This window comes from Homo sapiens, chromosome 9 (genome assembly GCF_000001405.40).
Source record: "Homo sapiens chromosome 9, GRCh38.p14 Primary Assembly".
Classification (NCBI taxonomy): domain Eukaryota; kingdom Metazoa; phylum Chordata; class Mammalia; order Primates; family Hominidae; genus Homo; species Homo sapiens.
In genome coordinates, this window is record NC_000009.12 from 135,257,144 (window position 1) to 135,268,641 (window position 11,498).

At 57.1% G+C, this 11,498-nt stretch overlaps 1 annotated feature.

Moving 5' to 3' along the window:
* Nucleotides 3,636-4,135: an enhancer, noted in NCBI's record as "H3K4me1 hESC enhancer chr9:138152625-138153124 (GRCh37/hg19 assembly coordinates)". NCBI's record gives its function as "activates a minimal SCP1, AML or CMV promoter by ChIP-STARR-seq in naive H9 embryonic stem cells {active_cell/tissue: H9 hESC(naive)}" and the evidence as "EXISTENCE:reporter gene assay evidence [ECO:0000049][PMID:30033119]".

The following is an 11,498-nucleotide window of genomic DNA, read 5'->3' on the forward strand; positions in this document are numbered from 1 at the left end:
GCTGGAGGTTTCCTGGCTCCTGGGCCAGGGCGCCTCCACCGTATGGGTTCTCAGAGCCCCACACAGGGGTGGGTACATTGTGTTGCCCTGATGCCCAGCCAGGGACCCCAAGGACTCTGTGCGGGAATGGGGGGACCCCACTGGGAGCCTCCCTGAAGGGAAGGGCCTTTGTCCCCCGGTCCACCCTGGTCCTCCAGCGGCCCTGACAGTCAAGTGCTGCAGCAGCCCTTAGTGCTACGTGGTGCCCCACAGCATAGGGAGGGCAGGCAGCGAGCAGAGGCTGTTCTCCCGGCAGCCAAGGACTCCCTCCAGCTAGTTGCAACCCAGCGATGTGCACAAAGGCTTGGTGCCCTTCCTGAGCGGCCCTAGGCCCTGGGGAGAGCTGGCTGCAGGACAGGTAGTGTGAGGCTTCAGTCTGGGAGGCACGAATCTGACACGGGACCACTCTGCTGCCAGCCTCCCTGGGTGCAGGCAAGGAACATGGCAGGGGCACAGCTGGCCACCCTGGGAGAAGCAGGAGGGATTTGGGAGCCCCGTCCTGACCAGGGTAGAGCTGGACAAGCTGCAGCCCTGGCTTCCCTGGGTCCAGCGTGGCCCCTCCCTGGCTGTATCTCCATGGCCTCAGGAGCCTTGAAAACTCCCAGGGACAACTTCCATCAGAGGCCCTCAGAGTACCTCCCAGGGGATGGGCCAGGCCAGGCATCAGAATTCTTTTAAAATTCCTCATTTGGCTTAAATAAGCAGCAATGTGTTCAGCCCCATTTAATCCTGGCTTCTGCACTTCCACCCGGGCCCCAGCAGCCACCCCCTCCACCAGCACACACAGCCTATTCTCCTGGTCCTCCAGCCACGTGATTCCGGGGCCTGTGACCTCTCTGGCTGCCAAAGTAGACAGTGCCTCTGACAGCTTGAACCAAACGGAAGTCTAATTAATATCATTTCCAGAAGTTCTCTGGAGTTTTTTTGAGACAGAGTCTCACTCTGTTGCCCAGGCTGGAGTGCAGTGGCGCGATCTCGGCTCACTGCAACCTCTGCATCCCGAGTTCAAGCCATTCTCCTGCTTCAGCCTCCTGAGTAGCTGGGATTACAGGTGCCCACCACCACACCCGGCTCCTTTTTGTATTTTTAGTAGAGATGGGGTTTCACCCTGTTAGGTTGGTCTCAAACTCCTGACCTCAAGTGATCCGCCCACCTCAGCCTCACAAAGTGCTGGGATTACAGGCGTGAGCCACCGCGCCTGGCCCAGAAGTATTTCTTGGGCACCTATAGGGCCAAGCTCTGAAGTGGAAAAAGGAAGAAGCAAGTAGTTTGGGGCCAGAAAGACCGGTGTTGGGATCTCGCTCCCCTGCCCCACCTCCACCAGCTGCTCTGCCTACAATTTCTCATCTGCAAAATGGTTGGAGAAAGGCCTTGCGTCCGAGGGCGACGGCGGTGGTGCCGACCGCATGGGGCGACGGCGGTGATGCCAACCGTATGGGGTGACCGAGGTGATGCCAACCGTATGGGGTGACTGAGGTGATGCCGACTGCATGGGGTGACTGAGGTGATGCCGACTGCATGGGGTGACCGAGGTGATGCCCACTCTATGGGGCGACAGCAGTGGTGCTGACTGCATAGGGTGATGGTGGTGATGCCCACTGTATGGGGTGACGGTGGTGATGCCGACTGCATGGGGTGATGGCAGTGATGCCAACTGCGTGGGGTGACCGAGGTGATGCTGACTGCATGGGGCGACCAAGGTGATGCCAACTGCATGGGGTGACTTCGGTGATGCCCACTGTATGGGGTGACGGTGGTGATGCCGACCGCATGGGGTGACGGCGGTGATGCCGACCGTATGGGGTGACGGCGGTGATGCCCACTGTATGGGGTGACGGCGGTGATGCCGACCGTATGGGGTGACGGCGGTGATGCCGACCGTATGGGGTGACGGCGGTGATGCCCACTGTATGGGGTGACGGTGGTGATGCCGACCGTATGGGGTGACTTCGGTGATGCCGACTGCATGGGGTGACCAAGGTGATGCTGACTGCATGGGGTGACGGCGGTGATGCCAACTGTATGGGGTGACTTCGGTGATGCCGACTGCATGGGGTGACGGTGGTGATGCCAACTGTATGGGGTGACTTCGGTGATGCCGACTGCATGGGGCGACGGCGGTGATGCCAACCATATGGGGTGACGGTGGTGATGCTGACCGTATGGGGTGACGGTGGTGATGCCGACCGTATGGGGTGACGGTGGTGATGCCAACTGTATGGGGTGACTTCGGTGATGCTGTCTGCATGGGGTGACAGCGGTGATGCCGACTGTATGTGGGACACTCGGACACTCCTCCCCAGGAGCTGCGGGGCAGGTGCTCATGATGTTGTCACCTCTGCCTGGAGGTGTGCACAGGCCACGTGGAGCTGAAATGGGCCTCTGTGTGCTGCTCAGCATGAACAGGGATGGAAGAAGTGCTCAGCCAGCCCACGCTACCTCTCCCAGCCTCAGATTCCCCCCCCCCCCCGGAAAAGGGCCTCCAGTGCCTGCCTTACCTTCCCCAGGAGAGGCTGGGTGGGGTGTGTTTGAGTCCAGACATAAAGCAACCATTCTTGAAGCCTCTCCTTATGGGTTCTGTGGGATTAAATGATCAAATACAGAAGGAAAGATAGAAAACCTGTGTTTCCAAATTTCTAGCTCGTTGGTTCTTGGAATAATAACAAGTCCTTATCTCCACAGTACTTTTTTTTCTTTTTTCTTTTTTCTTTTTTTTTTTGAGACAGAGTCTCCCTCTGTTGCCAAGCTGGAGTGCAGTGGCGTGATCTTGGCTCAACCTCTGCCTCTGCCTCCCGGGTTCAAGCGATTCTCCTGCCTCAGCCTCCCGAATAGCTGGGACTACAGGTGCGTGCCACCACACCCAGCTAAATTTTGTATTTTTAGTAGAGATGGGCTTCACCATGTTGGCCAGGACAGTCTTGATCTCTTGACCTCATGATCCCCCTGCCTTGGCCTCCCAAAGTGCTGGGATTGCAGGCGTGAGCCACCGCACCCAGCCCTACATAGTACTATTACAAAGCATCAAACTCTTCCTGACACTGCCACCATGGGCTCTGTGAAAGCTCCCTGAGTTGGTCAGGGTGAGTCATGTCACCATGTCACAGCAGAGGAAACTGAGGCTTGGAGAGAGGAGGGAAGAACAAGTACACACGCCTATCAAAGCTCCCAAAATAAGCATCGCTACAGCTCCAAACGCTTCGAGGAGGCAAAGAAAGTGGGGCACGCCGCCGTTGCTGGTGGGTGTGGACGGGAACCCGGCCGCTCTGGAAAACAGCTTGGCAGTTCGTATAAAAACTGACCCTGCAGCTGCAATATGACCCAGCATTGTACCCCGGAACATTTATCCCAGTGAAATGAAAACGTATGTTCACACAGAAGCCACGCACACGTGTTGGTGCAGAATCCTGCTTGGCGATGGAAAGGAGCCAGCCGTTGACACAGGCAACACTTGGACGCATCTCCAGAGAGTCAGGCTGGATGAGGGAGGGCTCGTCCCCAAAGGCTGTACCCTGGACGAGCCCATTTATAGAACACTTTTGACATGACAAAATTGCAGAGATGGCGCACCAATTGGTGGGGGCCAGGGGCCAAGGAGGGGCAAGGCAGGGGGAGGCGGGTGTGGGTATGGAAGGGCAGCAGGGGGTCCTCAGGGCATGGGTGTCTGTGTGTTCACTATGTCAGTGCCAACAGCTGGTCCTGATGCCGTCCCGGGCTTCCGCAAGACGCTACCCCTGGGCGGAAACGGAGTAAAGGCTGCAAGTGGCCTCTCTGTACTATTCCTTCAAACTGCATGTGAATCGACAACTACCTCAAAGTAAAAACGTTAATTAAAATAAGAAAGGGAACAGGGACGGAGGATTGGGAACCAGGATGGGAGGCAAAGCTGTCCCAGCAGACCGAGGACTGGGAACCAGGACAGGAGGTACAGCCGCTCCAGCAGCCCCTTTCCACACGTGCACTGGGCAACTTTATTTTCTCAGCGGTGGTGGGAGCATGTATGTCTTTGTGTGTGTGCATGTGAGCGTGTGTGTGTGCCTGTGCCTCTATCTATATCTCTGTGTGCCAATGTGTGTCTGTGCGTCTGATTCTCTGTATCTCTGTATGTCTGTGTGTATCTCTGCATGTATATGTGTGTGTGTCTGTGTCCCTCTGCATGTGTGCCTCTGTGTATATGTGTGCATGTGTGTGCCTGTGTGTCTGTGTGTGTCTCTGTGTGTGTGTGTGTGCCTGTGTGTCTGTGTATTTCTCTTTGTGTCTCTGTCTGTGTCTGTGTGTGTCTCTATGTGTCTGTCTCTGTTTCTGTGTCCGTGTGTTCATGTGTATGTGTGTCTCTGTATGTGCATCTGTATCTGTGTGTCTGTGTATGTGTGTGTATCTCTGTGTGTCTGTGCATGTCTCTGTGTGTGTGTCTGTCTCTGTGTGTGTCTGTGTCTATATGTGTGTGTGTCTGTCTCTGTGTGTGTCTGTGTCTATATGTGTGTGTGTCTGTCTCTGTGTGTGTCTGTGTCTATATGTGTGTGTGTCTGTCTCTGTACATCTGTGTCTCTGTGTCTGTGTCTGTGTGTCTCTGTGTGTCTGCCTGTGTGCATGTGTCTGTGTGTGTTTGTGTGTCTGTGCTTCTCCATGTGTGTCTGCTTGTGTCTGTGTGTATGCATATTTCTGTGTGTCTGTGTGTCTCTGTGTTTCTCTATGCGTCTGTGTGTTTGTGTTTCTCTGTGTGTGTGTGTGTATGTCTGTGTGCCTCTCTGCATTTCTGTGTGTGTGTGCATGTCTGTGTGCCTCTCTGCATGTCTGTGTGTCTGTGTGTCTGTGTGCCTCTCTGCATGTCTGTGTATGTGTGTATGTCTGTGTGCCTCTCTGCATGTCTGTGTATGTGTGTATGTCTGTGTGCCTCTCTGCATGTCTGTGTGTGTGTGTATGTCTGTGTGCCTCTCTGCATGTCTGTGTGTGTGTATGTCTGTGTGCCTCTCTGCATGTCTGTGTGTGTGCATGTGTCTGTGTCTCTGCATGTTTCTCTTCATGTTTCTCTGTGTGTGTCTATGTGTGTCTGTGTGTGTCTGCTTGTGTCTGCATCTCTGTGTCTCTGCATGTCTACCTCTCCAGGTCCCTCTAACATCATGAGCCAGTGGGGCACCCCCTGGCAACCCCTATATACACGCTGGGCAACCGTAAGTATTTAGGGAGACAGAGGTGCCTCTTCTGCAGAGTCACCCATGGCCTCCAGGCTGAAAGCCAGGCCTCTTTGGAAAGTGTGGAGGAAATCATTAGTTCAGGCAAAGCCATCAGTGGCACCGTGAGTCATTAGGAGCTGGTGTTTCCTGAACCGAATCCCCCCTTGGATGACTTGGCTTTCCTGGACTGCTGGGCCCACAGACCCTTCTTCCTTGGGGACGAACCCAGTGGGGACAGGGAGAGCAGGAGAGAAGCTCAGACAGAGAGCGGCTGTTGAGGAGCTAGAACGGGACCCAGGAGCCGTGCTGTCCTCACGAATGCTATGAGTGATGGCTGTGTTCCAGCATGCTCCATGCTCCAGGGTCCTGGCTGCAGGATGATGGAGCGGGGCTGCCTGGGCCCTGCTGCCTGTGACAGAGGCCAGGCTCCCCTCAGGAACCCCCAAACTCCTAGTGAGGCTTCCAGAGGGCCTGTCCTCACCCGAGAAACATCCCTGCCGGTCACAACAAAGGAGTCACGTCCTGCTCCCTGCCTTCAGAGCACCGGGCTCAGTTGCCAGTGTCGGCAACCCCACAGGACGGGGCGTGTGGAACGGAGCTCCATGGAGGCCTGCACACAGCCCCACGCCACAACAGCCTGGGCTTGCAGCTTGTCACGCCCCATAAAGGGTAGAAAGCAAGTGCACAAGGGTCCGGAGGAAGCGGACGCCCCTGCCCCAGGGAGGCAGAAGGAATCTCAGAGGAGTCCCCACGGGCTGGGCCTGGCTCGGGGCAGAACGGGGTGTGCAGGGCAGGACGGGTGTGCAGGGAGCAAGAGATTTGACACTCGGGTAGCACAACATGGAGACAGCAGAGACTGAAGATGCTGTCCGTGAAGACGGGAGCATGCCACCCCAGCCAAGAGCACCTGGGCCACCAGGAAGAAGCAGGCAGGGTCCTCGCCCGGGAACCTCCGTGGGGAGCATGGCCCTGCCAGCCTGGATTCCTGACTCTGCCCCCCAGAACCCGAAGAGTGCATTTCTGTGGCTTTACCTCACCAGATTCCTGTTAGTTTCTTTCAGCGGCGCAGGAGATGAACCTCTCAAGCCTGAGGCGACCAAGTGTGTGCTGGGGCAGAACACGGTTTCCTCTCCAGGAGAACCCGCCTTGCTGGGCTGTACTGAGGGTGAAACCTGAAAACTCAGGCGCAGTCAGCCTCGCTGGCCCTCACTGGGACCCTGTTGCTGCTGTCCACAGTTGGCACTCTCTGGCATTGCATAGGTGGCCTTGGCAGTGCCCTCCACTTCCTGTGGGTAGCCTACTCTGGTCCTCCCAGAAGCTGAGGCAAAGAGCTCGCCATCCTGGTTTGCTGTCTGGCCAGGGGATGTGTAGCCCTTCTACTCAGATCCACACAGCCTCAAGGTCCTTCCTCGTCCCCTCCCTGCTCCCTCCCCCTGCCCCCTACCCCACCCCTCCCCTCACCCCCTCCCTTCTCTCTCCCCGTCCCTGCCCTCTCCCCCTCCCTTCTCTCTCCCCCTCCCTGCCCTCTCCCCTCCTTCCCCTCTCCTCCTCCTTCCCCTCTCCCCCTCCTGCCCTCTCCCCTCTTTCCCTTACCCCTTCCCTGCCCTCTCCCTCTCCCTCCCCCTCCACCCTCCCTCCCCCTCCCCTTCCCTTTCCTCCCCCCCACTCCCTGCCCTCTCCCCTCCTGCCCTCTCCCCTCTTTCCCTTACCCCCTCCCTGCCCTCTCCCCCTCCCTGCTCTTTCCACCTCCCTCCCCTCACCCCCTCCCTTCTCTCTCCCCCTCCCTGCCCTCTCTCCCTCCCTGTCCTCTCCTGCCACCCCAGATGGATCCTGCACTTCCCCTTGTCCTGTCCTAATGACCTGTCCGATGTCCACCAGGACTGCCAGCTCCCCAGGAGGGGCTTCATCTCCCTGTTCTCTGTGGGTCATCAGCCCGAGCTTGGCACAGCACTGCCGCCTGGATGGGCACACGAGGGAGCAGTCCTAGGTCCAGGGAACTGTCCTTGAGTGTCTTTATCAGGGGTCCCTCGAGAAACAGAACCAACAGGACATGTGTTCCCACATAGAGAAGGAGACTCAGGATTAGGAGGGCTCGCGGGATTATGGAGCTCGAGGAGACTCCAGATCTGCAGCCGGCAAGCTGGAGACCAGGAGACCCAATGATGCAGTTTCAGTCTGATGTCCAAAGGTGGGAAAAGATGGACGCCCCAGCTCCAGCAGGCAGGCAGGAGCAGCTCCCCTTACTCGTCCTGTTTGTTCTCTTTAGGCCACAGGGCCCCCTGCCTTCTCTTTGTGTTCTGACCCAAGATCACAGTGCCTTGACCACTCTGCAGGTTTTCCCAGCAAGCTCGAACCCAAACCCAAGCCTTGAGCATTCCCAGGCACTAGTAAAGGTAGCTAGGTCATTGCCCAAAACACCGAAAGAAACCAGCCCTAGCCCTGAGCCAATTCCTCAAATCTCCCCGGGACCACGCCTGACCCCTCGCTGTGGACAGGCGTGGGTGCCATGAACGCCGCAGCTGATCCCTCGCTGTGGACAGGCGTGGGTGCCATGAACGCCGCAGCTGACCCCTCGCTGTGGACAGGCGTGGGTGCCATGAACGCCGCAGCTGATCCCTCGCTGTGGACAGGCGTGGGTGCCATGAACGCCGCAGCTGACCCCTCGCTGTGGACAGGCGTGGGTGCCATGAACGCCGCAGCTGACCCCTCGCTGTGGACAGGCGTGGGTTCCATGAACGTCCCACCCTGACCCCTCGCTGTGGACAGGCGTGGGTGCCATGAACGCCTGACCCCTCACTCTGTGAAAGCTCCCTCATATTAGGGGTCAGGGTGCACCTGACCCCTCGCTGTGGACAGGCATGGGTGGAACCTCCCTTCCTCTCCCTGTCGGTCTCAGGGTGCTGCAGCCCTCTGCACGTGAGCTGTGAGCTCTCCTAACATATGTCCTGGGCTGATCGCCCTGGTGCTCACTTAGGGCTTCTTTCTTTGGGGTGTCAACAGGCCCCTTCGTGGGATGGTTCGGAGCACTCTCTCATGGGAACTTTCCTGCTGCCGCTTTTGGGGCGACTCCAGCTTGGGGTTTAGTGAAACAAACCAGAGGCCACTCACGTGGCAGAGGGCATCCACGCTCCTTGGCCCGCCATTCCAATGTTAATCTTACCCAGAAACACCAAAGGTAAGTCCGCGGGGCCTCGTGGCCCAGGCAAGTTGACACAGAATTCACCACCCCAGTGTGGGAGGGCTGCCGCGTGATTCGTGCCAACTGGCACAGACCCCGGCAAAGATGATCAGATGTTAAACTGTCCCTCAGGCCTGTCCCCCGGCCCGCCATGCTCAGAAAATTCTCATCCTGTTCCATGCTGTTGTGGCAAACCCTTCCCCCACAAATCCTCCGGGAACAGGGAGAAGGGTGGAGGAGAATGGGGCCCTGAAATGAGGCACCCCTACTTCCAACACTCACAACATGCTAAATCATGAAATGTCTCTGTCTCCTCAATCAGTTAAAATACCGGCTGTGGCGTGAGGACCTGTCAGACAGGGCTTACCTTGAATAATGCCGGGATGACCCATGGTTTTCTGTGGCTCCACCTTACCTCCTGTCAGCTCCTCACCAGCAGAAGGCAGACGCCAGCCCACGAGCACTGGTCAAACATCAGACGGCTTTGTACTGTCACCCCCCTCGTTCACCAGGCCAGGAGGCTGCTGGTGAGGGGGTCGTGGGTGTGCAAAGCACATGGGACTGCTTCCCTCCATACGCAAACATGTGGACACACACATGCTTGCATAGACACCCACCTGCACACACGTGCATGCGTACACATGCAGACACAAACATGCATGCGTATCTTCATGGCTGTGTGGCAAGGCAGGGTCTTCCCTTCCTCCACTGTAAAAGGAAGGAGTGCATCTCCCAGTCTTATCCACCCTCCTGGGCTGCCTCCTCCTGGAAGCCTCTCCGGGTTGGAATCCTCACTCCTCCCAGAGCTCACTCGGCCTCTCTTCTGGCCTCCAGGTGTGCTCACTCTCTTGAATTATGATGCTCGACCTTGAGTTGTGCTCCTGTCTATCTCAGCCTGTTGAGCACGCAGGTTCCCTCTTGTCCTGTCCTGCTCCCACTCTGGCTCCGAGCACAGGACATTTTATAGAGTTGGGATTTCATAAACACGGGTTATATGAACAACGGAACGCTAAGCGCATCCCCCAAGACGCTCACTGCTCAATCAAATGGCTGCCGCTTACCAATAACATAACCGGACTCCCCCCATCCAGGGCGGGGGCACAGCCAGCGTGAGGGCTTCCCTGAGCAAAGGCGGCTGTGCCATTGGCCCATGCGGAGTCACAGCCAGCAGCAGGGCCTTCAAGCAGCCCCTGGGAGGACGTCTGCTCCCTCCTGTCCTCCTGGCTCCTGTCACTCCCCTGTCCCCCTTTCCCCCATGCCCTGTCCTGCCCTGGGAGCCGCAGGAGCCTCAGGAACCCACTTTGTGGACCGCAGTTGAGGTCCCTCAAGTCACGTGCGTGCTCTTGGACTCACAATGCAGGGTGACCTGAAATCCTGACGCCCGGTTCTAGCTGGTGCCCTTCCCACTGCGCCCACTGGGCTTTGCCACCAGGAACGGACGTTTTGAGTGCATGTTACAGCTCTCAAAGTACAGCCTCATTTGTTGTCTCTCGCTGTCCCCAGCTCTGCAAAGTGCATTTTCTAACTTAGAGAGGTCAGCGGGGCCCCCAGAGCTGCACAGAAAGGCAGCAATGCAGCCGGGAGCCCAAGTCTGGGTCCTCTCAAATTCCCCCAACACCCTGACGTGCCCCAGAGGCCTCCTTAGGGGTGACACCTCTGGAGGCAGCAAGTGAATTATCCACACCCTCCTGCAGGACGAGGCTTCCCTTTCCAGAGCCCTCAGGACCTACCACCTTCCTTCCCCACCACCCCTCCCTCCCTGGCTCTGCCACCGGGTCCTCTGGGGCTCCTGAAATGGTCCATCAGACACAGTTGGCAGGCGCCTGCCGAGCATCTGCATGGATAGCCGTGTGAGGAGACATGGCATAATCACGGCTTGAGGCTCATTCAAGAAAAGTGGATCGGACTTTGGGCGACAGCTTGCCAATTCCATGAAGGCTTTAAGCGCCGCTGAGAACGCTGAGGACTGTTCTGTATGAGGCCCGAGCGAGGCCTGCATTGCGCACGTTGCCCCTTTGGAATTCTCTTAGCCAGGTGCCTTCAGTTACAGATGGACTTTGGTTTCCACACAGGAGATGACAGATAATGTACCCAGAAAGGGATTTCCTGTGTGGCCAGACGAGGGGCCCCGTACCCTGAGTAATGAGTGGGTAAGCCACACCCCTGGGGCAGCATCATGAGATTTAGCTTGCTCTGCAAAAGCTGTCTGGGAGCTGCACTTGGCCTCTGCGCGGGGGGCTCTCAGGGACCCAGGAAGAACCCCTCTTCCAGGTTCAGATCCACAGTCCTTACCCCTTGGGACCCCATTAGCAGACACAGAGTCCAGCATCAAGGGGTAATTTCATAAGAGCAATGCAACGTAGGGCCCCTTGGTCTCGCCTCATCCTCTCCTCCCTCGTATTAGGAGCTCAATTGCTGTCCCGCCCCCTCCCCCTGAAATAAACTTTTCACTAGAAGCAAGAGCCTGGCTGGCATCTTCGGGCACAGCCCCCCTCTAAGAGCAGCCCAGCCTCAATCCCGGCTCCAGAACCAGGAAGGAAAGAGTCTTTTCAAATAAAGCAGTGTTTGTTTTTAATTATTGGATTAACTACCGACACCTTTGCTTGCATCCTCTGCACTCTAAGGGGAATTAGCGGCAAAGCAAATTGTAAAGACTTGGAGCCAGCATTTCTCCGGTGAACTCCTTGCCTCTCAGCGTGACCGGCCTTCCCTTGCAGCGTCACGGAGTTAGCACAGGGCTCAGCACTCGTTGTCCAGTGAGGCTGCAACTGCTGGGCCAGCCACACAGAGCTTCCAGGGCTCAGGATAACGTCTCGGGGTGGCCCAGGGACAAGGCCTTTTCTGTCTGGGCTGTAGAGACGGGCACAGGCAAATTCAGAGTCAACACCAGCCTGGATGAGAGTGCAGACTTTCTTCTTCAGAGTCCTCCCACAAGCCGGGGTGCACTGAATACTGTATCACACTGGGGCATCGTCATATTCTTTGCTTTGAATCAGGACACTCATTACGACTCTGTCCACTATGGTGTCCAGCCCTGAGCTAGCTCAGCATGGGAGCCACTGTGGCCCACATGTGGACACATCCCCAAACTCCTGTGGGCTGCTCCGAGC